The sequence below is a fragment of the Homo sapiens genome, chromosome 2 (genome assembly GCF_000001405.40).
Source record: "Homo sapiens chromosome 2, GRCh38.p14 Primary Assembly".
NCBI lineage: Eukaryota > Metazoa > Chordata > Mammalia > Primates > Hominidae > Homo > Homo sapiens.
The window spans coordinates 207,742,440-207,770,271 of NC_000002.12; the positions used below are offsets into that span (position 1 = coordinate 207,742,440).

Sequence of the window (27,832 nt, forward strand, 5' to 3'; positions counted from 1 at the left end):
ATCAGAACTTTAAGAGAAACCTATGAAAGGAACATAAATACGTACATTCGCGTTTAATCATCATTATGGTTGAACATGTTTCCATTGCTTTTCTCATCACAGAACAGTTGCTACAAAAGGCAGCCGGGGAGATTTCTGGTTTCTCCCCCTACCCATCAATGCACATGTACACATTCAGTGTGTACACATACAAGGCATGGTGGCAGGGCTGGGGGTGATGGGGAGTGGTAACAAAACCATGTGGTTCAGAGCCAGATACTGATTCCAGTGTAGGTCTAAGCCAAGTCCCAGGCTCTATTCCCCAGGTATTTCCGATATGTGTGGTGATTGAGAACTATTGCCCTAAATTCTTTGTTCCTTGGATGATGGGTTTTAATCATCTCTGCCTACCTCTTGTGCCTGCTCGTGATGTTGCCCAGCAATGTGGTACCAGCAATACTTGGACAAAGGCTTTGCTGATTAGCTTACTAAGCTATAGCTGTGTCCTTAACTTTATGTCCTCCATACAGAATTCCTATGGTAAGATTTTATCATTGAATAATAAATCCTATTCAAGTGGTTAGGATTGTTTTACTCCTCCCCACAGCAAACCTATAGAGGAAGGTCAACTGCATGGCCTGGAGGGAAAGAATACTTAGGTCAGTACCTACTCCTTTAGCATCCAATTGGAATTTAGGAGAGAAGGCTTCTGTGCACTTGAATAGAAGCCCCTCAGTGGGTACTGGATCAGACTTAGGCCTTTTCATGGAGCTGTAAGCCATTTGGAACACTTAGCACATACTGTAGAGAAGCAGGAGTGGTGCTTCCAGATGTAGAGAGACAGGTGATACAGGAGAGGAAGCTGTACAGGAAGAGGGGAGTTCATTTTAGATGGTTTAAGCTCTATGTGCCTGTGAGGTAGCAGTGACAGTGTCCAATAATCATTTGAATGTACCGGACTGGAGCATGAATCTGAGCTTAGAGGTAAGGAATGAAGAGTTATAGTAGCTGTTCAAATACAGAGAAAGGTTGCAGAATGAAAGTGGAGAAGCTAGGCATGGTAGTGCACACCTGTAGTCCCTGTTGCTGGGGAGGCTGAGGTGGGAGGATCACTTGAGTGCAGTAGTTTGAGTCCAGCTTGGGCAACATAGCAAGACCCCCATCTCTAAAAAAAGAAAAGAAAGTGGATAGAAGATAGATCTCTAAAGACTGTTAGCATTTTTGAGGGACAAGCTCCCAGATGGAGTGGAAGGAGGAAACCCAGGAGAAGGTAATAAAAGAACAGAGATCAAGATAAGAGAGGCTATGGTCCCAGTGTTAAATGCTGCCAAGAAGTTTCTGATTCTGTAAATATTCACTGGGTGCCTACTCTGTGCCACTATTCTTGTTTTTTGTTTTTGTTTTTGTTTTTGTTTTGTTTTGTTTTAATTTTTTAGTAGAACTAGAGTCTAGCTATGTTGCCCAGGCTGGTCTCAGAACTGACCTCAGGTGATCCTGCCAGAGTGTTGGGATTACAGACGTGAGCTACCAAGTGCTAGAGTAGAGGAGAGGCAGATTGAACAAAGTTCTTGCCTTTATGAGCTTATGTTCTAGTGAGGAAGACATTTTTTCAGGTAGTGGTAAGTAGCAAGAAGATGAAGCAGCATAAAGGGATACAGAGTGACAGGAGGGGCTCACTATTTTAGATAGAATGATCAGGAAGAACCTCTCTAGAGGTGACATTTGAGCAGTGACCTGATCAAAGCAAGAAGGTAAAGAGTGCTGGCATTACAGGCAGCCAGACAAGTGCCAAGACTAGACAGGAACATTTTGTGTGTGTGTGTGTGTGTGTTCAAGGAACAAACAGCAAGGTGTCCCGTGTGGTTGGAGTGAGTTGGAAAGAGTGGAGGAGGTTGAGGTCACATAGGGCCTTTTGGCTTGCAGGCCACAGGAAGGTTTTTTTTGTTTTGTTTTGTTTTGTTTTTGAGATGCGGAGTCTTGCTATGTCACCCAGGCTGTAGTGCAGTGGCTCAATCTTGGCTCACTGCAACCTCCACCTCCCAGGTTCAAGCAATTCTCCCTGCCTCAGCCTCCCGAGTACCTGGGCTTACCAGTGCCCGTCACCACGCCTAATTTTTTTTTTTTTTTTTTAAGTAGAGACCGGGCTTCGCCATGTTGGTCAGGCTAGTCTTGAACTCCCGACCTCAGGTGATCCGCCTACTTCGGCATCCCGAAGTACTGGGATTACAAGTGTGAGCCACTGCGCCTGGCCAGGAAGAAGTTTTTATTCCAGTTTGATGGGTACTTTAGGTAGATTTTGAGCAGGGGAGTGAAGTGCTCTTAAGAAGTTATGCTGATGGCTTGAAGAGAGTAGGCCATAATTGGCAGAATAGAGGCAGAGAAGAGAGTTAAGAAGCAACGAGGGTGATACAGGTGAGCAGTGACAAATGGCAGCTCAGAATCAAAAGCGAGCAGCCTACCAATGAAGGTGGACATAGCAGGAATTGTGCACAGTCTGGTGTGGGATAACTTGAATGTAGGTATTTGGTCTCAGCAACTAGGTGAATGGAAATGCCCTGTACAATATTAGGGAAGACTTGGGGAGTGGAGCAGTGGGATGAAGAGCTCTGGCTTGTAAGTGTGAAGACTCTGGGGACCTTGGCAAGAGGAGTCTCAGGAGAGTGACAGCAGCAAGGGACAAACAGGAGTGGGTTAAGGAGAGATGGGAGATGAGAAGCTGACACCAGGACATGATGCTTTGAGCAAATGAGAGGACACATCCGGGGAGTTGTGGGGAGGGGGATGGGAACAAAGGAAACACGTTGGGGAAAATCTCTGGCAGAGAAGGAGAAAGCCTTCAAAAAGACGCAGTTGCGGGGACAGTGTTCTGCACAAGTGGGAGGGGATCAACTGCACTGATGGAGTTGGCTTTAGTGGGAAGAAAAGAACTCTCACACTGACACAGGAGGGCAAGTGGTATCAGTGAGCATCAGCACATCACCAGCTTACCCGTAAAGGCAACAGGAAGTTGAGGGATTGTCTATGTTGTTTCCCTGTGGTCTAATTATTCCCATTGAGATTTGAACCCTGTTAGGATACTGAGAGTGCAGAATTTGGGGGAAAGGGAACAGAATCTCTCTTAAGAACATGTCATGTTCAATATCCATTTTTGAAAACACAGTCCAGTTTGGAGAACACTGCCAGATCTGATCTGCCTATCTGATAACCTTCAGACAGTAAATAAGCTCTGTTAAAATGAACTTTTTTCAGGCTTGGCACAGTGGCTCACGCCTGTAATCCCAGCACTTTGGGAGGCTGAGGTGGGCAGATCACTTGAGGCCAGGAGTTTGAGACCAGCCTGGCCAACATGGTGAAACCCCGTCTCTACTAAAAATACAAAAATTAGCCAGGCGTGCTGGCGGGTGCTCAGCTACTTGGGAGGCTGAGGCAGGAGAATCGCTTGAACCCAGGGGGCAGAGGTTGCAATGAGCCAAGATTGCATCACTGCACTCCAGCCTAAAAAGATTTCTTTTTGTCTTGATACAGAGTTCAAACAGCATATAGACATACTCTTCCACAGAGAACCCTTTGAGGTAACAGCAAATTACAGCTTACCTCTGAAATCTTTACTCAGCTGTTCACTTTGCTCAGTTCTTTGAAGGATGTTTGGTAGATGTAAAATAATTCATGAAATTGTCTCATAAACTGCTTGGCAGGTTTAGAGGAATACCAGGGGTCCAGAGACATCCTTTTGTCCATCTGTGTTCCTTGTGGAGGCACTGAATACGGGGAATATTTTACAGCCTAAAGACCTGTCATGCTGCTCTGCACAGCAGCCACTGGGTGGCTCTCTTGACCAGCAGTTCTTCAAGCTAGTGCCACAAAAGGGTTAGTTACTGTGAAAAGGAGAAGGTAAAAATGTGCTCAGTATTACTTGGGTTTTACATATTTGAGCATAATATAGCTACCTGTAAAATTACTATCTACCATGCAAGTATGATACATTGTACCTGGTAGGCACTCATTATTTATTGAACAACTCTATTATGGGTGTGGAGGTGATAAGAGTGCCTCTCTTGATGATGCTGTTTGCTGAGATGTCCAGTCATTCCTGTGACTGGGTGGGAAATGTATATGGGCAGAATAGGCAGCAGAGATATCTGACCTACAACTGTGATTTAGTGTCTTGCTTTGGCTGAGTAAGCAAAGTCTCTGTAGAACATAAGAATAAAAGGCACTTATTTTCTGGTCAAAAACAAAAGAAATTTGTCAGTCATGAATTCTTATCAAAGCATTTCGGGGCCGGGCGCGGTGGCTTACGCCTGTAATCCCAACATTTTGGGAGGATCTGGTGGATCACCTGAGATCAGGAGTTCGAGACCAACCTGACCAAAATGGAGAAACCCCGTCTCTACTGAAAATACAAAAATTAGCTGGGCATGGTGGCGCATGCCTGTAATCCCACCTAGTCGGGAGGCCGAGGCAGGAGAATCACTTGAACCTGGGAGGCGGAGGTTCTGTGAGCCGAGATCGCACCATTGCACTACAGCCTGGGCAACAAGAGTGAAACTCCGTCTCAAAAAAAAAAAAAAAGCTTATCAAAGCATTTAAACTGAACTAAAATCAAAGACCAGTGCTCTATTTTACAGGTTTACTTAGAAAGGCTTTTAACTTATGCTGAAATCGACATTTGTCCCACCAACTGGAAAAGGATTGTTCTGGGAGCCATTCTTCTTGCCTCCAAGGTTTGGGACGATCAGGCTGTATGGAATGTGGACTACTGCCAGATCCTCAAGGACATTACAGTTGAGGACATGTGAGTTTGTAAGGTTTTGGTGAACTTTCTAACCATTTTCCAGTATCTTATTCCTATAAAGTTAACAATTTAAGGAATATTTTTAAAGGTTACATTATGCAGATAATGGAAATAGGCATAAGACTATATCTGTCTATCTTTAGTATAACAGTTCACAATAGAGCAAGACTGTCTCAAAAAAAAAAAAACTAACTTCATATTTTCCATCATTACTTGGTAGGTTTTGATGTGTAATAATCTGCTTGATAAATTGAAAAATATTTTTTGGGTGGTTTTTGGCAAAAATCTTACAAGTATACTACCAGAACAACATAGCACAGTAAATATCTTTATTTTATTTTATTTTTTGTTTTGAGACGGAGTCTTGCTCGGTTGCCTAGGCTGGAGTGCAGTGATGCAGTCTCGGCTCACTGCAAGCTCCACCTCCCAGGTTCAAGCGATTCTCCTGCCTCAGCTTCCTGAGTAGCTGGGATTACAGTGGGATTACAGGCATGCGCCACCATGCCTGGCTAATTTTTGTATTTTTAGTAGAGACGAGGTTTCACTGTGTTGGTCAGGCTGGTCTTGAACTCCTGACCTTGTGATTCGCCCGCCTCCGTCTCCCAAAGAGCTGGGATTACAGGCATGAACCACTACGCCTGGCCTCTTTATGGCTTTTAAAAAGTTATCTGCCAGTTCAAGCTCCTTTCTCTTTTTCATTCATTCATTCATTCATTCATTTATATCTTTTCATGTGACCAGTAGGGTATAAACAGCCCTTAAAGGGCATATGTCTGGCCTTTGAAATAATTGTTTGGCCACTATTAGGTCTTAGGGCCTCTGGACTATTGAGAAGTTACGTAGCTTCAACCTGAGTCACACATTGTATATTTGCTTTTGCTAGTCTTTCCACATTTTATCTGAAGGTCTGTTTTTACAGAAGCCTTGAGATATGAAGATCCCTGTGCCCCTGACCCCTCCCCATTAGGAGTGTTTTTTGTATTTAGAAATTGGTCTCCTGAGTTAGGAAGCTCCAGCGTTCCCCTCAGGCGGTCTGAGAAGCACTGCTGGGGCATCATCCAACGCTCACCACACTCGAGAGGCTCCCTGGGCACTCGGACAACCACAGCACCACTTTGGGGGCCTTGAGTTACCTATGAGAGTGCAAGGATCCTTGCTGAGTCATGGAGTTCCTCACAGATGGCACCAATATGACCCTGAAACAGCAGCTTCATCAGGGTTCCTTCCAGGCTGGCCTCGTGTCGGCCGTGAAGGGAAGGGCCTTGGAGCTTGGTAGGCAGGCTGAGCCAGGGAGGCATTTCCAGCAAAGGCTCTCAGGGTGCCCACCAGACAGTGAGAATGGCTTTGTGGGTGGCATTTAGAAAAATATGAAGGAGCACCTCTTGATGATGTTGAGCAGCAGAGGAAGATCAAGGTCATGACAGGCAGTGGCAAGAGTTTGTTTTTATTGCCTTTGCCCATTACTCCATATGACTGTCATTCAGAATTACCATACCATATATTCACAACTGAAGTGAGGATACTTGTGACTAAAAAGGAACCAGTAATTGTGGTAGCTGTTGAAGTGGCTTCTGGTGAAGTTGACCACTTTACTGTTTACCGAACAGCCCTAGTGATATTGCTGGTAGCCGTTTTAGCAAAGGGTGTGACAGCAAATGAATTTGAAACAAATGGAAGTACTTTTGGAAATTGCAGAAACTAAAGTGACTTTGATCACTGCTGTCATCCGTCTGCAAACTGGTTTCTTGAAGGAAGCAAAATTTATTATTATGAACACTTAGCCCTACCATGATGGCAGCTAAAATGTTCTCAAAACCTGCAACTGAACTGACTGGTGCTCTAGTTCAAGATACAGTATCAGAGAACCTGCAGGGAAATGTGCAGGTTTCTACAGATGTAAGCTTCAGGAGCAGTGGTGGCAGGGGCCAGCTCCAAGAAGACCAGTTCTAAATAGTGCTGTTTGTGTATGCCCAGGGAAGCACCAGGAGCTATGCTACAAACAGGCTGCTTTTGTTTATGATCTTTGGAAAGCATTTCAACAAACTGTTTAATATACATTTGTCTCATCCCCCTGCTGTTGACTATTTGTAGTGGTCTCATTTTGAGTCTAAATTGAAACAATTTTAAATTGGTGTCTATCAGGTTTTTCTTAAAAATTTTCAACAGCTACATGTCCTGTTAGAATATATTTCCCTTTAAAAGAATAAGTTAAACTGAGCAGCTGCTATTCAGACGGTTTGCTGTGCCTGTAAAGGGTATGCTATTCAGCCACCTAGCCATTTAAAAAAAAACAAAAAACCTAGAAGATGCATATTCTGTAAGCATAATGCTTTTCTTCAGTGATTAAACCTCTATTAATATGTGTGTTAATCCTATGAAGTACTATATTTCTACACAGTTAAAATGTATTAGTGGAAAAAATATAAAAGGGATTGTGAAGTGCATTTATTGCTGTAGTAAATTAAGTCCTGGTTAGCTGATTATCAAAACATTATCTGATTTACATTTCTATAGGCTTATGGACATATGAACAGGAAATTAATTTTGGAAGTAGGTTCAGTTGGGTTTTTAAGCTCAGCAAATGAGAAAACCACATCTCTGCTCATATTAACTGCTCTCCATACAGGAGATCATCAAGCATTTGTTGACTTACCCAGTGGATAAAATATTAAAACTTTGAAACCAAGAAACCAAATATGTTGTTTAGGTATTTATCATTTTTATACAGTTAACTCCTTATAGGGATTACTGTGAAAGTGGTTAAGATTTTCTCTAGTTTTATGTTTATTTGCTTAAGCATTTGGCAAGGGCAGCTGTGTGGTCATGTAGCCGACTACTACTCCCAGCCCTTTCCTCTCCCATTGCATTCAGCTCACTCCTACATTCTGTTCTGACCAGGACGGTAGATACTGAGCACCTCAGGGTTTCATTCCCAACTCAGAAGAAACACTGAGTTTTTAAGTCCAGTGACCTACCATAAGTCATATCATAAAATGGGTTTAGTCTAGCCAAGACATCCACCTTTGATCTTTCTGCCTTCCAAAGTTTAAAGAGTATCCTCACCCTGTCATAGTGACAATTTCTCACCTTCATAATATTAAAGTGAGCAGAAACTTGCATTATGCCCTTTGACATAGCCTCATGCGCCGGGACAGGGGGAGGGGATTCCCTTCCCCTGTAATGTAGCTTGCTTATTTATTTATTTGAGATGAATCCTTGTTGCCTCAAGAGTTTTTCCCCCTCAGAGATAATAGCAGTGGCTCTTGATGGATCCATTTGTTGCCGTGGTGATATGCCTACTCCTTTTGTTGGTGCTTCTCTACTTCAATAAGCCCCTTCCTGTTATCAGCCTGGTGAAAATGTCTGCAAGTTCTTCAGAGCTAATAAACAGCATACATCATTCCTTTCATCTGATCACTATAGTGGGGCCTTGTGAGTGAGCGTGAAGTATGAATTGTACAGCTGCACTAATGGAACTCTGAAGAATGAGGCCCGAGTCAGCAGCACAAGTGCATCGGAGGCCGTAACCTTCAACCTTCATCCCAGTTCCAGAGTGCTGGGATGCAGAAGGGACCACAAGTAACTGTACCTTATGTGAACATTAGTATGTTAATACAACTGGGTAGCCTATATTTTAAAATAGAGTTTAGAGCCATTCTAGTCTCTTAGAATGATATTTTTGAAGATAGCCCAGTTGACTGACATTGTCCTGTGCTGGTTCTGTTGTGTTCTTCCTCCTCCAGGAATGAAATGGAAAGGCATTTTCTGGAGCTTCTTCAGTTTAATATTAATGTTCCTGCCAGTGTTTATGCCAAATACTACTTTGACCTTCGCTCCTTAGCAGATGACAACAACCTGAATTTTCTATTTGCTCCTCTTAGCAAAGAAAGAGCACAGAACCTAGAGGTAAGGCTATGAAGTCACTAAGTGAGGTTTTCCATCAGCCACCAAAGCCAACATCTGTGACTAAATCATATTAAGTAGTGATTAGGAAAATGGAAAGCTTTAAAATTAACTAACACTGAAGAGCTTATTAGCCCTTTGGCGTCAGATTTCCTGTGTCTTGTATGGTTTATACAAGGATCAACATTATTTAAAAATTATACATATTAACTCTTCTGTGACCATAATTCAGAATATTTTAAATCAAATTTAATCTGTTGTTAATGAGGTTTCCTTTTGAACTTCTACCCTTTCACATAACCATACATGAATAATTTTTTTAGCTGGGCACTGTGGCTCATGTCTGTAATCCCAGCACTTTGGGAGGCTGAGGTGGGCAGATCACTTGAGGTCAGGAGTTCAAGACCAGCCTGGCGAACATGGTGAAACCCTGTCCCTACTAAAAATACACACACAGGCCGGGCGCGGTGGCTTACGCCTGTAAGCCCAGCACTTTGGGAGGCCGAGGAGGGCAGATCACCTGAGGTTGGGAGTTCAAGACCAGCCTGACCAACATGGAGAAACCCCGTCTCTACTAAAAATACAAAATTAGCCGGCCGTGGTGGCGCATGCCTGTAATCCCAGCTACTCGGGAGGCTGAGGCAGGAGAATCGCTTGAACCCGGGAGGCGGAGGTTGTGGTGAGCTGAAATCGTGCCATTGCACTCCAGCCTGGGCAACAAGAGCGAAACTCCATCTCAAAAAAAAAAAAAAAAAGTACACACACACAAAAATACAGGCATGGGGGTGCATGCCTGTAATCCCAGCTACTTGGGAGGCTGAGGCATGAGCATCGCTTGAACCTGGGAGGCGGAGGTTGCAGTGAGCCAAGATTGCACCGCTGCACTCTAGCCTAGGTGACGGAGTGAGATTGTGTCTCCAAAAAAAAAAAATTTTTTCTTTGCGACTGTATTCCTAATTTTATCTACATACATAATTCACTTGCCACTCTTGACTGTCTTACTTACTGTTTGCAAATTCATGTCATGGTTTATGTATCACAGTGCAGTCCCATGAGTTTTTTAGACAAAGGATTAGTGGATAAGCCAAGAGACCTATACCCTTCACTGTATAGGATGCAGGTGTTTCAAATGCTGGATGTAAGTGGTAGGCATGGTGGCTCACACCTGTAATTCCAGCATTTTGGGAGGCCGAGGCAGGTGGATCACTTGAGATCAGGACTTCAAGACCAGCCTTACCAACACAGAGAAACCCGGTCTCTACTAAAAATTCAAAAATTAGCCGGGCGTGGTGGCAGACGCCCAGTTACTCAGGAGGCTGAGGCATGAGAATTGCTTGAACCCGGGAGGCGGAGGCTGCAGTGAGCCGAGATCATGCCACTGCACTCCAGCCTGGGCGATAGAGCAAGACCCTTGTCTCAAAAAAAAAAAAATAATAATGTAGGAAGTACATGGGTTTTTAATAGAAATGGTAACTTTATGGGGCAAAGTAATATTTATGGCTTATGACTCTTGGTGAGTATACAGCAGAATTACAACTGAAATGGACACATATTTTAAACTAACACTTTCTGTGGTACCTTGGTGGTACTTTAGAATAATATGTATTTCTAGGCTGGGCTCAGTGGCACATGCCTGAGAGTGGCTCATGCCTCAGAGGCTCATTCCTCCCAGCACTTTGGGAGGCCGAGGCAGGCGGGATCACCTGAGGTCAGGAGTTTGAGACCAGCCTGGCCAACATGGTGAAACCCTGTCTCTACTAAAAATACAAAAAATTAGCTGGGTATGGTGGCACATGCCTGTAATCCTAGCTACTTGGGAGGCTGAGGCAGGAGAATCGCTTGAACCTGGGAGATAGAGGTTGCAATGAGCTGAGATCACTCCAGCCTGGGCAACGAGCGAAACTCTGCCTCAAAAAAAAAAAAGAAAAAAATAATAATATGTATTTCTACCATAATTAACGTGCATGTGAAGTAATACCTTTTGGCGCGTCAGTCATCAGACCGCTCATATGTTCCAGTATAGTCCAGCACACACCTGCCTCATTAAAATGTGCTTTGAGTATATAATAGCTAATAAGGATTGGGTAGAATTTGAATAGCTGAATAAACATTTTTTTGCACAAGTGTACGTTTGTTATATTTAAGGAATAAGTTAACAGATAACAGATGCTATTGCTGTTAGGAGCCCTATCACAATACCTTTGATATCTTTGGGAATCCAGTTTTTTAATAATATAATAAATTCCCCTTTGTTCTCTGGGAATCTAACCATAGCCCTTAAAGGATATTACCTTGGTGAACTGTCAGGAAGTAGTGTCCCCACAACCTGGCAGTGTAAAACTCAGCCAAAGTAGCTGTAACTGTGAACTATCTAAAGGAGTCCACATGTGTGGCTTTCACAATGGTGCTCTTTCAAAGGCGGGAACCCTTTTTAAAATTGTACCTGTTTTCTATTTGATTGACTTTCCTAGGCTATTTCTAGATTGTGTGAAGACAAAGACTTGTGTAGAGCCGCTATGAGAAGGTCTTTCAGTGCTGATAACTTCATTGGTATTCAGCGCTCTAAAGCCATCCTCTCTTAAAAGGAGAAATGAGGGGTTATAACGTCATGGGACCTTCATCTACAAAGACTGGAGAAATACCACCTTTCCTGCTCAAAAACCAGCAAAATTAGTGTTTTCATCAAAAGGAAAGATCTCAAATTCAAGAGACTCATGGACAACAAGGATTATACTCCACAGGAAAGAATGGGACCTTGTCAATGCAACAAAACACTCTTCTGTCCTTTTTAATGTAAACAGAGTTACAAAAACCACTCCAAAGTGAAGGCTCCCATCCTACACACAGATATTTGCTTACTGTGTGGGCCGATAGCTGTGAACTATGTAAGGTTTTTTAAACAATAGTTTAAATTTTTAGACTTTAAAGACACTAACCATATAACTTTTATGTTTCTTCCAGTTTCTCTCCCTCCCCCCGCATTTTGCTGCATATGCCTTTAAAATCAATGCAGTATTACCATTAAAACATGGGACTCTAACTAAAGCCACTTAGGAGCAGACAGCAGCGTTGTTAGGTACTGAAGGGTTCTTCCTCCCTACTGTTACCATTGAAGCTGCTAGTCATTGGCAATCATTTTAAACCAAAAAGCTGCTGGATAACATTTGTCATTCATATTCTTTGCAAGCATTACTTTAGCATTTTAGCATGTTTGGGGTCATAAACAGAGGAAGTATCAGTTATTGATATCTACTTCTATTGGAGTCCATGTTGCATTTCTTGTGAACTATAAATGGTGCTTCTCATTTTCTGATAATTTTTCTCTTGCTAAATAAATGTATTAAAAGATATTTTCATAATGCCAACCAACATGGTGGTTCAGTGACGATGAGAAAAAGTGAAGCAGTTTTAAGCTTGAATATAGTTTGGGCCCTCCAAGGCACTGCAGCATGAGTATAAATGCTATAAACCTTTAAAAAACATGATTTGAAAGTTTTTTGTTTTGTTTTGTTTGTTTTTAAAGAGATGGGGGTCTTACTGCGTTGTCCAGGCTGGAGTGCAGTGGCTTTTCACAGGTGCAATCATTGTGCACTCACTGCAGCCTAGAACTTCCTGGTCTCAAGCCATCCTCTAGCCTCAGCCACACAAGTAGCTGGGACTACAAGTGCAACTGGCACCTGTCTCCTGAATATTAAGCTTTTAATTTTTTGTTTCGGTCACTCTTGATAGCAGACATTGACTGAAACAAAAAATTAAAAGCTTTATATTCAAAATTTGCAAAATGAAGCTGGGTGTGGTGGTGCACGCCTATAGTCCCAGCTACTTGGGAGGCTGAGGCTGGAGGATTGCTTGAGGTCAAGTATTGGAGGCTGCAGTGTACCATGATGGTGCCTATAGGAATAGCTACTACACTCCAACCTGGACAACGTTATCAAGACCCCATCTCTTAGAAAAATGCAAAATTAAATGCAAAAGAAATGGGCTGGGCATAGTGATTCATGCCTGTAATCTCAGTACCCTGGGAGGCTGAGGTGGAAGGATTGCTTGAGTGCAGGAGTTCAAGACCAGTCTAGGCAACATAGTGAGACCCTGCCTGTAAAAAAAAATAATAAAAATAGTTGGATATGGTGGCATGTGTCTGTAGTCCCAGCCACTCTGGAGGCTAAGGTGGGAGGATCAGTAGAGCCCAGGAGGTCAAGGCTGCAGTGGGCCATGATCATGTCACTGCTCTCCAACCTGGGCGACATCCAGACCCTGTCTCAAAGAAAAAAGCAGAAGAAAAATGTTCAGACAAGGTTTTGTAAAGGTTTGTAGCATTTATATTTCTACAAGTATCAAAGCTTAAAATTACACTGAACTTTTGGAATACCTTGTATCTCCATAAAATGCCCTCTTTTTAAAAGTAGTTACCCGCAGAGCTGTGCTCTATATGCTTTGATTACCGCAGTTTCTTTAAAGGAAGATTTTGAAGAGCAGTGTTAATTAACATGTAATAAAAGGAATTGGACCCTAATTATAGAAGGTGATATGAACAGCTGTTTTATCATCCTACATGCTACCAAGCTGTAGGTGTCCCATTAAGTCCTGCTATTTAAGAAATACTTACATAACCCTTAGGAACTCTTCAGGCTTTAAAAGGCAAGGAGCAAATAATTTTAGGAGACCGATAATGTCACCTAAATTTGAAATACTAAGAAGAGGTTAGTGTTCTCAACTATGTGAAATCTGTTTCTCCTACTTTCTCAAATCTAATCCTAGGAATCTTGCTTATAAACAAAGCATTTCTGGGACAGGAGTACTTCCTCTATTATAGCAATGCTTCACATCATATTGTGCTGCAGTTTCCATCATTTTTAAAGGACAGAGACATAAATGATAAATAATGGTATACAAATATTACAATCTACCACCTCAAAAAAACAAATATTGTTTATGGAATTCAGAGTTTGGAGATTCAAGTATTGATTGCAGTTTTATTTTGAAAAGAATGCTACAATTTATGTGGTTTTTATTTCTCATGTTTATATTAAAAGCTAATAAACTCTATTTTAATTAAAATATGGCTAGTGTGTTTGTAACACTTCTATCCACATAGTGTTACATCTCTGCCCAGCCTAGTTTTAAGTCAATCCTGATATGTCTTAAAGCATTTTCAAACCAACCATAAGTTGATTTGATCCATGCCTCTAGTTAAGATGTAGTGATCCATTTCTTTTGCATATGCTCTTTTCAACCTGAAGATAATTTATTACACTTAAAATCACTGACCACAATACTTAATGGCATAGTGCATTAGATGGCATCTTGAATAGTTGGTTATCGTGTCTGAGAGGGAAAAGCACATTAGAATATAAAATTAAGCAAAATGTATCAAAGAGAAAGGAATTAAAGGAATAGCGTAGAATTAGAACAAGAGGTATTTGAGGTTTTCAGACAAACAGGAAAGAGAATGGAAAGACAGGAACTAGAATTTGTGTTGCTGTTGAGAGGATGTCTTAAGCCACATAATTTGACTTTAATGTGCTATTTTCAAGCTTACATTTCAGTTAAAAATATACCAAGTCACTATTAGGTTTCTTTAGAACTAAGAGTCTAGCCACTCAGCTTTAGCAATTCTCAATAAATCCTGATAGCATTGCAATATTTTCATCCACTTTAATTCTTCATTACCTAAAGTCAAATATTTAAGTAAATGATCACAGTCAGGCACGGTGGCTCACGCCCGTAATCCCAGCACTTTGGGAGCCCAAGGTGGGTCGATCACTTGAGGCCAAGAGTTTGAGACCATCCTGGCCAACATGGTGAAACCTCGTCTTTATTGAAATTACAAAAAAAGACGGTGCAGTGGCTCACGCCTGTAATCACAACACATGAGGTCGGGAGTCTGGCCAACATGGTAAACCTCGTCTCTATTTAAAAAAAAAAAAAAAAAAAAAGCCAGGTGTGATGATGCACGCCTGTAATCCCAGCTACTCGGGAGGCTGAGGCAGGCGAATCCCTTAACTCTGGAGGCGGAAGTTGCAGTGAGCCAAGATGACGTCACTGCACTCCAGCCTGGGCGACACTGCAACTCCGGCTCAAAAGAAATAAAATTAGAAAAACGTTAGTGGGACGTGGTGGCACACGCCTGTAATCCTAGCTACTCAGGAGGCTGAGGCACAAGAATCGCTTGAACCCAGGAGGCAGAGTGCAGTGAGCCGCGATTGCGCACCACTGTACTCCAGCCTGAGCGACAGCATGAGACTGTGTCTCAAAAAAACAAAAACTAACTGATCACTGTGTCTTGATAAGTTGCCGACTAGGATAAAAGATCTAACTTAGGAAAAAAATCTATCATACGTCACTTTATAAGATGGTTTGCACCCTGTGATATGCCAGTTATAAGCAGAAATGCTGACACATTTGGCCAAAGGTTTAAAAGTTGGGAGAGGGACATTGGACATGAATCTGTGACTTGAAGAACAAGTTGGTAAAATAAGTATCACTAAGCTGCTCTCTTCCTTTGACTTTTAATTCTAGAAGGCAATACAGCGACTTTGATAAATGGGAAATTGGGTCAGTTGAGGAAAAGAGTATAAATGTCACTGAAAAGCAGGTAGGTTCTCTGACAAATGGGGCATGGAAACCAAGTTGCTAGTGGGGTGGTAACTATGGCATTTTTCTCAAGAGTTCTATACCTAGGGAAGATTCGTTCCCTAACATGAGACTTTAAAAAAGGGCTGATTACCTGGACTCAAATTTATTTTCATTTGTAGGTTTTTTTTAACTACTATAATACAGACCCCAATAGAATATTAACTTTGGTATATTGTGAATTGAACTTTCACATTTTCATTACAAGACAGAATACCTGAAACATATTTGATAGGAGTCTGGGGGTGAAGAGTTAAGAAAATGAAAGATATATTTGAACCAAATTGCCATTTTTATAGGCCTTTTGGTTGCCTTTTGGCAATTTCATATGTTTCATCCTAAAATGACCACTTAGGGCTCAGTGTTTCTGGTTAAAGAGAAATTTTATCCTGGCCCTTTATTTTACATTTCCTCTTTATGTAATCCATATGTCTATACATGATTGAAATCCAACAGCACTAAATCCTGGCTTTACAACAGCTCAAGGTTCATTTCTTGGTCTAGTTTTCCTGCATTTCTAAGTATACCTTGATTTTTTTTAAGCCAAAGCCAATTTTAACCAGAAAACAAAATCAGTCTTGATTCTGTGTTCAGGCTCTGCAGTATTTCTGGGAACTAGTTTAGCTACAGTATGCAGGTTAACTAGAATCTTTCATCACCCAGCCTTTCTCCCTAACTACGTTTAAGATAGCTATGACAGACTCTCAAGCAGGCTTTTTTCTTTTCTCTTTTCTTTTTCTTTTTCTTTTTTTTTTTTTTTTTTGAGACGGAGTCTTGCTCTGTCACCCAGGCTGGAAAGCAGTGGCATGATCTCGGCTGACTACAACCTCCACCTCCCGGGTTCAAACGATTCTCCTGCCTCAGCCTCCTGAGTAGCTGGGATTACAGGCATGTGCCACCCTGCCCGGCTAATTTTTGGAGTTTTTTGGGGCTTTTTTTTAGATGGAGTCTCACTCTGTCACCAGGCTGGAGTGCAGTGGCGCGATCTTGGCTCACTGCAACCTCAGTCTCCCAGGTTCAAGCGATTCTCCTGCCTCAGCCTCCCAAGTAGCTGGGATTACAGTCTTGTGCCACCACACCCAGCTAATTTTTGTATTTTTAATAGAGACGGGGTTTCACCATGTTGGCCAGGATGGTCTCAATCTCTTGACCTGGTGATCTGCCCGCCTCAGCCTCCCAAAGTGCTGGGATTACAGGCATGAGCCACCACACCAGCCTCAAGCAGGCTTACTGAGTATAGTACTACTTGGAAAAGCACTTGACAGCTGGCAGAGAAATCTCCCAGATAAGTGCTAGTTTCTATGCAGAAACTGTAGATTACACCCAGCATCTCTCAACAGATTAAGGATTGTATTACCTTAAAGTCTAATTTCTGCCTACTTACCCATCTGGTGGACCTGGCTGGGGCTGACTGACATTGTGCCAGCAAGCAATACCTAGCAGCCCTTCTTCAGTGAAGCCTGCTCCCCTAGTATACAGGAGCAATCTGTTTGGTTTCTAAGGCAATTTCCATCTAAACTATTTGGCAAGTGGGAGAACGTGCACTTAAATGTGAAATTTTAAGAGTGTTAGTTTGTGGTTTAGGATATCTAGGGTGCAGGAAGAACAACTAACTATGAAAGTGAAATGGTATAGAAATTAAGAGGAATCCCGAGTCCAGTGAAAAAAGGTTAACAGTCTTTAAAAACGGACAGGTTTAGCCAGGCGCCGTGGCTCACGCCTGTAATCCTAGCACTTTGGGAGGCTGAGGCGGGTGGATCACCTAAGGTCAAGAGTTCGGGACCAGCCTGGCCAACATGGTGAAACCCCGTCTCTACTAAAAATACAAAAATTAGCCTGACATGGTGGCACGTGCCTGTAATCTCAGCTACGCAAGAGGCTGAGGCAAGAGCGAAACTCCATCTCAAAAAAAAAAAAAAAAAAAAGGGACAGGTTTGGTGATTATTATAACTGCTGTAAGGGAGCAAAGCAATTGGAATGTGATTAGGAAAATTCAGTAATGGTCCCAGAACCTAAGGTCTTCAATGAGCTATCAGTAGTATCTACTTCAAAAGACCTCAAAAGATTCCCAAATTAGACTGTTAGCTTTACGGAAAAAAAGAAAATCTGTTGCTTTGTCTTCTTAACCTCAATTCTACAAATGTTTACCTGCCACCCCCTAGCTGGTGGCTCCTGTGTCTCCTCGGCATGAGAACTGCCTCTGACAAAGGAGGAGCTTCAAGTGTTTTACACACCTGGTCTTCCACCTGCTCCTTCACTCTTAGGTGAAGATCCTTAGGACCCTCCCTCAACAAAATCATCCCAGCCTCACCCTGACCCAATGTGGCAATGCTTGATGTTGGTCACTGTGACCCACTGCCAAAGCATTAGCATCAGGTTCCAGGACATGCAGGTGTCATGAGGCTCACAGGCTAACAGGCCTCTTGTAATTCCCCTTCATCACCTATTTGAGCCCACCTGTGTTCCCCAAAGCAGCTGTTCCCAACTTACTGCACTTACCCGATCTCCTGACCTGCTCACAACCCTAGTCATGTATCCTCAATCTAGGCTGTGGACTAAGTGGCAACTGCACCTTCCAAAATCTACTATTTCCTCTGGCATTAGATGCCTTCTTTAAAGTAACCCTCCTCATCTAGTGGAGGGGATTCTATCTCTAACTCTAAAATCAACCTTCTATATCCACCCTCCACTACTTTATTCCCTTCTGCTTTAAAATTGCATTCATCTCCCCAGTTTGGGGATGCAGCAATTTTTGTCCAGTTCTTTAAATGTCCCAGTGATTCTCACAATGTGGTCCCCAACCCACCTGCCTCTCATCAGCTGAAAGTGCCTGTGAAAAACAAAGCTTCTCTAAAGGCAGTGTGGTGTCCTGCACTGGATCCTGGAACAGATAAAGAACATTAGTGGAAAATCTGATGAAGTCTGCAGTTGATAGTAATGTGCCAACATTGACTGCTTAGTTTTAACAAATGTTAACGTTGGGAAATGAGTAAGGGGCATACAGAAACTGATTTTGGCAACTTTTGGTAAATCTAAAATTATTCCAAAATTAAAAGCTTATTTTTTTTAAAAAAAAATAGCTTACTGCGCCCCAGAGCTACTGAATCTCAATTCCTGGGGCTGAGATCTGGGAATTGACATTTTTAACATGAATCTCAAATGATTCTTACGCAAATACAAATTTGAAAACCTAATCTCTCCATCTCCTTTCATTCCATGTCTGAACAGCGGCTTCCCCCATTGTTTTACTTACCTTAACTTTGCCTTAATCTGAGTCAATCCTTTAAATCTTTTTAACCCTAAAATATAAGTCTCCCTTTTCACAAATGAGAAAACTGAAATACCCAGAGGTTGTGTCCAGGATCACATGGCACATAAGTGGTGGAGCTGGGATTTTAATTCCTATTAAGTCTGGCTCCCAAATCCATGCTCATAACCACTCTGCCTCTCAACCCTGTTACCATCCATAGACAAGCTAACGAGCTGTGTAACTAAATCACTAAAAGAACCATTGTTACCAGTATTACCCTGGGCCCACCTATTTCTGCAACTTTTTTTTTTTTTTTTGAGACGGAGTTTCACTCTTATTGACCAGGTTGGAGTGCAATGGTGTGATCTTGGCTCACCACAACCTCCGACTCCCAGGTTCAAGTGATTCTCCTGCCTCAGCCTCCCGAGTACCTGGGATTACAGGCATGTGCCACCAGGCCTGGCTAATTTTAGTAGAGACAGGATTTCTCCATGTTGGTCAGGTTGGTCTCAAACTCCCAACTTCAGGTGATCTGCCTGCCTTGGCCTCCCAGAGTGCTAGGATTACAGGCGTGAGCCACCGCACCCAGCCTATTTCTGCAACCTTCTAAGCCCAACAGTCCCTCTCTCTGTTCCAGCTTGTGACTTTGCCCTTTGCCCCCTTTTCCAATGGGGAAAAATGAGTGACAAGAAAGCATGGGGAAGATGTGCTAACTACTGTGTCCCGGACATGTAAGGTACAGTTGCTCTTCTCTTAGGATTCAACTCAACTATATTTTCTAGTCTGCCTCTCCTAACTACCTTATGCATCAATGTAATAAACTTCCTAGTGTTCACCTTGACATTGAATTACACACTCTCATAATGCTAACTTCTTACTGGATTTATGTTGTCTCCTACAAATATTTTAAGCTAATTACCCATGTTCTCCCACATACTTATGTCTCAGAGCGTTGGTGGAGAACACTGACATCCCAGGCATTAAAATGAGGTGGTGTTTGGTAGATGGTGGCTAATCTGCATTTTGCCAAAGCAGCATCAGTAGGTGGTCCAACAATAGTATCTCAGGCTTACTAAGCATCTGTCCAGATAACAGGGAAGAGCCAGCTCAGTCAGTGTTACTGTCTCTTCTGGGCTCCCTGACTTGTATTTAGAGCGCAATACCAAGTTGCAGATCCAACTGCTGGATGACAAAGTTTTGGGAGTTCCTGCCCTCCAACCGGACGCACAAAACAGCATCATCTCTAATCAAATTGGTTCAGTGTAAATGGAGGGTTTATAAAATAGAACGCAATCTCAGGCAAAGTCTCTGTTCTTCCACGTATCTGCCTTCATCAAGTGACTCATGAGACAATCACAGGATCGGCAGGAGTGAGACCTAGGAAAGATATTCAAGTAAAACATGTTTCTTAACTAGTTCTGTTTCTGGTGATTGGAATTTGCTTGATTTTACTTACTAATAAAATTTTTGCTGCTTATATTTTAAGTACATCTGAAAAACCTGATTATGAAGTTAGAATCCGTATTATCTCCTCGAATACTCTTAGAAAGCAATGTCTCTCTATAAAAACATGAGGAGAAAAAGACTTCTACAGCATCTTTTTATTGTCTTTACCATTACTTTAATGCATTTTAAAATTTATCTACATTAATTGGGAACAAAGAAAAATAGACATTTCTTTGTTTTTCATAAATAACTAATCTTCATATTTGATAAAAATCTCAAATGATTATTTTACCTTCCCACAAATATAATACATACAAAATTTTTCTGAAGTAAGGTCAACAAATTAAGTATCTTGAGACTAACATAACCACATACAACTGCTGTTTCTACTGACTCCCAGGAACGAAGCAGAAACAAAAACTCATCAAGCTGCTCTGGGTTTCCTTTTGTAAGTGTTACAGATTCAGAACTGTAATCATGTATCATCTGCCAGTAATAACATATGGATTCAAATTGATTGTCTACAAATAAAGTATCGCTGGCTCTAGTGTAACTTCTGGATTTAACATAACAGTGACTACAGCATGGGATAGGCACTATACATATATGGAAATCATAAACAGTATCGAATGCCCTGGACTTCAACTACTGACTCGGTATGTGCCTCATTTGGCTCAGTAATAAATTCACCTGCACCAAACCCGTATCAAAAGTCACCAAATCTCTCATATATATATATAATATATATTATGTATATATACAACCCACAAAACATACATACTATACATAGTTTGTAACAACATGAAGTCATACTGTCTTAAAATGATGCACTCACAGACAGACACTATCCTGGCTGAAATAAATCCTATTGTCATCAGGCTGCTAGCTTTTGAGAGTCTTGACTCAGGTTAGCTACTTATATTCTGCCTACTCTTCACCCTTCTTTAACGTCTTGGCAGTTCTTTCAGAACCACCCTCCGCAATCCAGACAGATTTGTTTCCCAGGATCACTTGATTGGACTTTGGAAACAAGAAAGAGCATGCAGAGGGAGCAGGCAATTCTTAGCCACTGTCCCTCACACCTGCCTATACGTGTGATGTGCTCTGTCCTGTTGGCCACATTTAGTGTTAGAAAGCAGTTATTCAAAGCTCTGTCCCTCCTACCCCCCTTGGGCTTTCTGTAGAGCACAAAAGTGAAAGAAGCTTCTTTGGCTGGGGTAGCAGTTCATTAAAATATACAACTACATTTCCTAGCTCTGGGGTTCCCATTCTGTACTGGAGAGTGCAGGTCACGGATGCTGTTATTAAGGTTTGGTGTGTGATCCATGAGGTTTTCTCCTGGCAGCCGGTGTCAGGATTAGCGCAGCTCCAGCCCAGGAGGCAACAGCCTAATGAATACCAACTTTGAAACAGTGCTGTCGGCACGTTATTTAAGCTTGTACATGCCCACAATTACACACAACACACACATGGGCCTTGGTCACTGGCAATGGTCATGAGAAAATATGAGAAAGGTTTGCAAGGAAAACCAATAAGGCACCAAGAAAAATTATTTCCAGTCAATTTTACCATTTCAAAATGTGAGAAGGAAAATCATAGAAATTAAAAAGATTTCCTAAAATCTGGTCAGCTAATTCACTGAGAGGTCCCATTAGTTCCTTTAGACAACCTACCTGAATGGAATCCTTACCCCCTAAGCTATGAAGTGAGGCATTGCTTAAAATCAAACTGAAAGGGACAGCCCTGAAGCTGTACACATAAGAGACTCCAATGGGCCCTAAGTCCTCCCCAGCTCCACAAAGCTGGCTGTGAAGAAGTTGCTGAACTACTCCATAACCTTTTATTTTACAGTTGCTTTCATGAGCATGACTTGTTTCCATAATCACATGCAAATTGGGGGAAGTAACTATATGGATGGAAACAGGGGGTGGCTGTAAGTAGATCCAGTTTCTCTCCCCTGGGGTGGCTGATCTCAGTAAGACTTAGGGATGCAGGTGGGCTTTTATCTTTGTCTCTCTTAGGGGATGAGGGAAGAGAGGGACAGCAGAGGTGAGAACAGAGACAAAGAAGTGCTTCTGAAAGTTGGTCTGGAATTAGACCCCAAAGATCCTGACTAATATTGCCCCCCACTTGGGCTTAGCGTCCTTTGTTTTAACTGGCTTATTTTTAAAGTAAATTAGTTGTTCAGCATGTTGCTAAAACAAAACAAAAAAAAATTCTAAAAATGAATTAAATCACTTTCATCCACTTCATCCCACAACTTTTGGATACACTGTGCATCATTTCCAGATTTCTCCACAAAGAAGGAGGGACAACCCAAATGAGGCACAATGACTGAAGGCAGCAGAGCAGTCTGTCTACTTTCTGGGAAGACATATGAAATGAGGGAAAAGGTCAAGGTGATCAGAAAAGGTTCTCTCATTTGAAAAACAGGAGAGGAATTGGCATTCAGTCAAGGGATCTATTTCAAGATTCTAGGAAGAGGCTTCTTCCTAGAAGAATAAATAGAGGAATAAAATAGGCACAAAGTTCTGTAGCTATTTGTACGAGGTTTTGTAGAATCCACTGAAATTTTAATTCAGAGGATAAATTGGGTAAGAGCAGTGCATTTTAATAAATGTGAAGTTTTTGAGAGTCCTTACAACTTTAATACTAGGTTTCTTCCCACCAGTAAAGTGTTTAAATTCCCCCTGGGAACTATGCATTTGTCTATTTAACATCCATGAAGTAAAAATTGTCCTAGGCTTAAATTTTACTTTTCCAACTTTGGTATAAGTGAATTACAAATGCCTACACTCAAGTTGTTTTCCTAGACAGGATTTTCTCAAATGTTAATTGCTCTGGCCATTTTAGCTTCCTAAATTTAGTCCCCAATCCTGGTCATTGGTATTTTGCTGGCTGAGGCACTGTCACCCCCCTTCCCCAGTAATGGCCCCACACTCTTCATGAATGAATGCTTAAACAGATTAGGAAAGCAAACAGAATTTTCTAATAGCAAAGAAACCTCTGTGTGTATGTTCATCAATATAAGCGTTCATAATGAATGAAGGAATAGTTAAACAGATTAGTAAAGCAAACCAAATTCTCTAATTGCAAAGTGTGTGTGTGTGTGATCATCAATATACAGGCTTTCTCAGAAGAGGAAGAAAACTATAGAGGTAGCACTATACTGATCTATATTTTAAAAGGTTGTGCAAGCATGTTATGCATCTCTTTTGTTTTCAGAGACGGCAGAGAGCAACGTCTTGCTGCTCTTGGAATATCTGGCTATAAACTAGTCCAAAGTCCAGGAACACTTATTTTCCCTTATTTGGGCCAATGTTTGTTCACAGGTAGCCAGCCTCCCTCCCCCAGTTCAAGCACTTCATTCAAGGGTGGGTGTGGTTTCTAATCACAGCTCTCCAGGAGAGGAGGAATAAGAAAAGCAAAAAGGCTGTTTAACATGATAAAGGGGGAGGGGGGAGGGGGGAGGGGGTGGAGCAAATAAGTGTTGGAAATTTACTTATTAGAAGTATATCCATTTCAGTCCTTACATTTAAAAAGGAGCCCCCTTTAGCAACTGTCGCTAAGTATTGTCCAGAGGGAGTGGGTTTATACTTTTACCAAAATTATAACACAAGTTCCTTAAAAAAAAAAAAAAAAAAAAAAAAAGGGGATCACTGAAGCTTAAGAACCACCCACTACCTCTCAGGCACAAAGCTGCCATCTCACCAGCCTAAAATTCAAGCTCCACCAATCACCATCGCTTAGGCTCTCACTACTGCAAATATTTATGCCAGATCCTCTATAATGCTACCTCTAACTTATTCAAGACACAACGATGGTGCTGTTAGGAGTGAGAATTATTACAAGCACTACAGAAAAGAAACTGAACCTCCCTCTATAAACAAAGCTAAGGCTGAACACAAAACCGCTAAGCACTCCCTAACCTTGTCACTTTGGGGAGGCCCTGAGCTCATTATGCTCCCCTCCTAGGTATGACCTGGGGCTATAAACTGCAGCTCACCTTAAAGAATCATGGACACTTTAAGCAGTGGAAGGAGAAGCTGGCTGAAAAAGCACACCCAACAACTTCCCAGTCACAGCAACCGAAACGTTCACTGTTCACATTTTTTTTTAAAGACACACGTATAGGAAATATATTTTCCCAATTGAGACCACACAGTTCAAAGAAACCTGAACCAAGTGGAACTTCATTACAACGCCAACCTTAGGATTGTAAAGCCCCCAAAGCAAAGGTAAATTGTTGCCAAAATGCAACAAAGTTACAAATTAAGAAAAATACATATAAATTAAAAAGAGGGTTCCCATAAAGAAGGCAGTAAGAAACGCAAAATAGAATACACGTGAGCTGGGCCCCTTGGAGAAGACCTGGGACAGGTTCTTCCTCGAAAACGCCCCTCTTCCCTCTCTCCAAGTCGCCGCGGGAGGGGGCAACAGCACCATGAAGGTAAACGGAAGTGACCTTGGCAAAACTACCAAACAAAACGCCCCCCTCCCCTCAGCTCTCCGGCCGAGTCCCTCGGCGGCAGCCTCCTACACGTGCGACAGGGACACCTGCTTGTGGTAGGTGGCGGCGGGGCCCGGCGGCCCGGTCCTGCCTGTGAGCGCGGCGCTCGCCTCGGGGTAGTCCCCTGCGGCCATGGCGCCCCCGCTCTTGTGGCCGCGCCGCGGGCGGCAGCAGCAGCGGCTGGTGAAACGCCGCCACGACTCCACCGTCTTGCCCGACCAGATCCAGACGCCCGACGTGATGCCCACCACCAGGCACATGAAGTACTTGAGCATGAGCACCCAGTACTCGGGCTTGGCGCGCGGCTGGCCGGTGTCGTGGCCCGGGCAGGCGCAGGTGAGCGCCGCCTCCCAGCTCTCGCGGTAGTGCTGCTCGTACAGGTAGCAGGCCACCACAATGCTGGCGGGGACCGTGTAGAGCAGCGTGAAGATGCCGATGCGGATCATGAGCTTCTCCAGCTTGTCCGTCTTGGTGCCGCCCTGCTTGATGACGCTGCGGATGCGGAAGAGCGACACGAAGCCCGCCAGCAGGAAGAGCGTGCCCACCAGCAGGTAGAGCACCAGCGGGCCCAGCACGAAGCCGCGCAGCGAGTTCAGGTTCTGGTTGCCCACGTAGCAGATGCCGGCCACTGGGTCCCCGTCCACGGAGCTCAGCGCCAGTGCCGTGATGGACTTGACGCTGGGGATGAGCCACGCAGCCAGGTGGAAGTACTGCGCGTAGCCCGCGATGGCCTCGTTGCCCCACTTCATGCCGGCGGCCAGGAACCAGGTGAGCGACAGGATGACCCACCAGATGGAGCTGGCCATGCCGAAGAAGTAGACCAGGAGGAAGACGATGGTGCACAGTGCAGGGCCCGTGGTCTCGTAGTGGATGTGGTTGTGCTCGCGGCTGCAGGCCACGCTGGCATGGCCCACGACCAGACGCACCAGGAAGCCCAGCGACACGCACAGGTAGCAGGCTGACAGGAAGATGATGGGGCGCTCAGGATAGCGGAAGCGTTCCATGTCGATGAGGAAGGTGGCCACTGTGGTGGACGTGGAGATGAAGCACAGCACCGACCACAGGCCTATCCAGAAGGTGGCGAACGTGCGCTCGTCGGCACTGAAGGACGGCTGGTAGCAGGGTACCGCGCAGTTGGGCACCTGGCCCGTCCGCACCTTGTTGTAGAGCGGGTGTGACTCCTTCAGAATGGGCACGAAGGGCTCGCGACACTTGCACACGAACGGGCCCCCAGCGGGGCATTCGCCCCCCGAGGCCGGCGCCCCTGGCGGGCCTGGAAGGGTGGGCTTGGCTGGGAAAGGCCTGGGGGGCGCCGTGGTGGCCTCGCTGCGGTTGTAATCCATGCAGAGGACCTCGGCGTCGCGGCCCAGCACCGGGAGGCGGTCGCAGCTCATGCGCTCGGGCCAGGCGAAGCCGTACTGGCGCATCAGCGGCGAGCAGCCGGCCTTGGCGCGCTCGCACACCGAGCGGCAGGGCGGCAGCGGCTTGTGGTAGTCGGGCAGACAGATGGGCGTGTACATAGAGCATAGGAAGAAGCGCAGGTCCGGCGAGCATTGGATCTCCACCAGCGGCCAGAACTGGTGCACCTCCAGGCCCGCCTCGTCCTGCGTGTCGTGGTTGAACTGGTTGGGCATGTGCGTCAGGTTGTAGCCGATGCCGCGGCACATGGGCACCGTGATTTCCTGGCACACCGGGGCCTTGGACGCGGCGGCCGCCCGGCCCACCAGCTGCGCTAGGAGCAGCAGCAACAGCGAGGGCGGCGCGGATGGGTCAGGCCGAGCCATCGCCCCCTCCCTCCCCTCGCCTCCAGCAGCCCGCGAGGGACGCACACAGGCAGAGGAATCCGGGCCGGGGCTTCTCCCTCCGGCGTCTCGTGTGTGGCGCCGGGGCTGGCAACCTGTTGGTTGCTTTTTCCTTTAAAGAAAACCGTCCAAAGATAAACTGCTTCGGGAAGGCGCTGCCTCCGCTGGCAGCGCTCCGCTCCTCGCCGGATAGGGCTGGGGAGAGACGGTTAGGGCTCGGATTCCAGGGAAAGGACTCTTTAAAAAAGAAGGGGGAGAAGAAAGATTGCAACCACTCCCTGTTGGAGAGGCGTCAACAGTTCGGTCCCCGCGAGCTGTCTCCAAATCTCTTAAGTTAACCCCTTTCCTTTCCTCCCCGCTCCGCCTCCTGTAACCAAACTACCGACTCCCCCACCCTCTCTTTCCAAGCTGGGCCCTTCAGGCAGTGCCCGGAGACCAGAACCCTCAGCTTCCCGGAAAAGGGCACAGGAAACGGGAGAAGAACAGGGAGAAAGGGAAGGTTCTCACCTCCACGGATCCCGCCGAGAAGAGCAGACAGTCCCCAGCCAGCCTGGGTCCTCCGTCCCTGGGTCACTCCGCTGAGAAGCGCGACTCAGAGCCGGGCTGGCGCCCGGAAAGTTTAGCGACAGGCTGGGTACCCGTGGCAGCGGCACATGGCAGCAGGTGGGGGCGACTCAGAGTGGGGGGCGCCCCCAGAACAGGGGCGGCGCAGGCCGGTCACTCGCCCTCTCCTCCTCGGGAGCCCCCCGCATGATCCAGACGGAGCCGGGCAGGGGCAGGCCGTGCGTTCTCCCCGGGGCCGGGAGCCGGACGGAGGGCGAGCGCGCCTGGCAGCACCTGGGCGGGAGGAAGGCGGGAGGCGGGGGCCGTGGGACCCCGCCGCCTCACAGCACCGCGAGCAGCCGGCGCTGGCCAGGCCGGGACTGCATGGTGAGCGCCGGCCGCCGCGTCCCGCCCGCCGCTCGCCTCCTCCCCTGCAGGGGGCTCCGCGCTCCAGTGGACTCCTGGGGGCGGTGGCGACGCTCTCGGGACGTGCCCTGCTCGGCTCCTCCCCCGCGCTCTCGCACCCTTTCGCCCACCTCTGGCGAGCACGGAACCGCGCGCGGCGGCGACCACAGCGGACTCACGGCCGCAGGCTGGCTGCCCTCTCCCGCCCCGCCCGGGTCACCTGCTTCTAATGCCCGCCGGGAAGCCCCGCCCCGGCTCCGCCCCCTCAGGCCCGGGCGCGGTTGGTGGGCCGCCTCGCCAAGCTCTCCGCGCGTCCCCGCCCACTGCCCCGCGGGCTCGGCCTTTCCCCCGGCGCCCTCTGGCCCCGCCAGGAGCGGGCAGCCAAGGAGCGCTGACCAATCGCGGGCCTGGAGGAGATGGGGGCGGGGCGAATGCTAATCATGCCGCTCTGGGCACCCGGGCGGGAAGCCCTTGCCAGAAGTCCCTCCGGAGTTCTCTGCCCGCGCCCTGGGTGCAGGACTCGCTCCTGTAACTTCCTGGCTTATGCACCTTTGCTCCCAGGGCCC

At 45.1% G+C, this 27,832-nt stretch overlaps 2 protein-coding genes and 1 non-coding gene across 5 annotated transcripts in view, besides 6 other annotated features; 2 read left to right on the top strand and 1 right to left on the bottom strand.

Moving 5' to 3' along the window:
• Positions 1–13,735, top strand: part of CCNYL1 (cyclin Y like 1) — a 44,535-nt gene extending 30,800 nt beyond the window's left edge. For all 3 annotated transcript variants that reach the window (NM_001330218.2, NM_001142300.2, NM_152523.3), the window contains 3 exons: positions 4,608–4,774; positions 8,518–8,680; positions 11,149–13,735. In NM_001330218.2, the coding sequence (NP_001317147.1) occupies positions 4,608–4,774; positions 8,518–8,680; positions 11,149–11,259 (441 nt within the window). In that variant the 3' untranslated portion in view covers positions 11,260–13,735. The remainder of the gene's footprint in view (positions 1–4,607; positions 4,775–8,517; positions 8,681–11,148) is intronic.
• Positions 12,368–12,442, top strand: MIR4775 (microRNA 4775). Its single transcript, NR_039934.1, has one exon. It is a non-coding gene; the product is annotated as a microRNA 4775 (primary transcript).
• FZD5 (frizzled class receptor 5) lies at positions 20,159–27,467 on the bottom strand. Its single transcript, NM_003468.4, has 2 exons — positions 26,826–27,467; positions 20,159–26,555 (listed from the first exon to the last, which is right to left on the bottom strand). The coding sequence occupies exon 2, from the start codon at positions 26,298–26,300 to the stop codon at positions 24,543–24,545; it is 1,758 nt and encodes a 585-aa protein (NP_003459.2). The 5' UTR covers positions 26,301–26,555; positions 26,826–27,467; the 3' UTR covers positions 20,159–24,542.
• Positions 24,652–24,711: a silencer, noted in NCBI's record as "silent region_12284". NCBI's record gives its function as "represses an Ori minimal core promoter by ATAC-STARR-seq in GM12878 lymphoblastoid cells {active_cell/tissue: GM12878}" and the evidence as "EXISTENCE:reporter gene assay evidence [ECO:0000049][PMID:35858748]".
• Positions 24,746–25,302: an enhancer, noted in NCBI's record as "H3K27ac-H3K4me1 hESC enhancer chr2:208631909-208632465 (GRCh37/hg19 assembly coordinates)". NCBI's record gives its function as "activates a minimal SCP1, AML or CMV promoter by ChIP-STARR-seq in naive H9 embryonic stem cells {active_cell/tissue: H9 hESC(naive)}" and the evidence as "EXISTENCE:reporter gene assay evidence [ECO:0000049][PMID:30033119]".
• Positions 25,303–25,860: an enhancer, noted in NCBI's record as "H3K27ac-H3K4me1 hESC enhancer chr2:208632466-208633023 (GRCh37/hg19 assembly coordinates)". NCBI's record gives its function as "activates a minimal SCP1, AML or CMV promoter by ChIP-STARR-seq in naive H9 embryonic stem cells {active_cell/tissue: H9 hESC(naive)}" and the evidence as "EXISTENCE:reporter gene assay evidence [ECO:0000049][PMID:30033119]".
• Positions 26,218–26,277: a silencer, noted in NCBI's record as "silent region_12285". NCBI's record gives its function as "represses an Ori minimal core promoter by ATAC-STARR-seq in GM12878 lymphoblastoid cells {active_cell/tissue: GM12878}" and the evidence as "EXISTENCE:reporter gene assay evidence [ECO:0000049][PMID:35858748]".
• Positions 26,688–26,747: a silencer, noted in NCBI's record as "silent region_12286". NCBI's record gives its function as "represses an Ori minimal core promoter by ATAC-STARR-seq in GM12878 lymphoblastoid cells {active_cell/tissue: GM12878}" and the evidence as "EXISTENCE:reporter gene assay evidence [ECO:0000049][PMID:35858748]".
• Positions 27,088–27,767: a silencer, noted in NCBI's record as "silent region_12287". NCBI's record gives its function as "represses an Ori minimal core promoter by ATAC-STARR-seq in GM12878 lymphoblastoid cells {active_cell/tissue: GM12878}" and the evidence as "EXISTENCE:reporter gene assay evidence [ECO:0000049][PMID:35858748]".

Coding starts and splice junctions, on each gene's coding strand:
- FZD5 (NM_003468.4), bottom strand. CDS start 26,300: ATGGCTCGGCCTGACCCATCCGCGCCGCCCTCGCTGTTGCTGCTGCTC.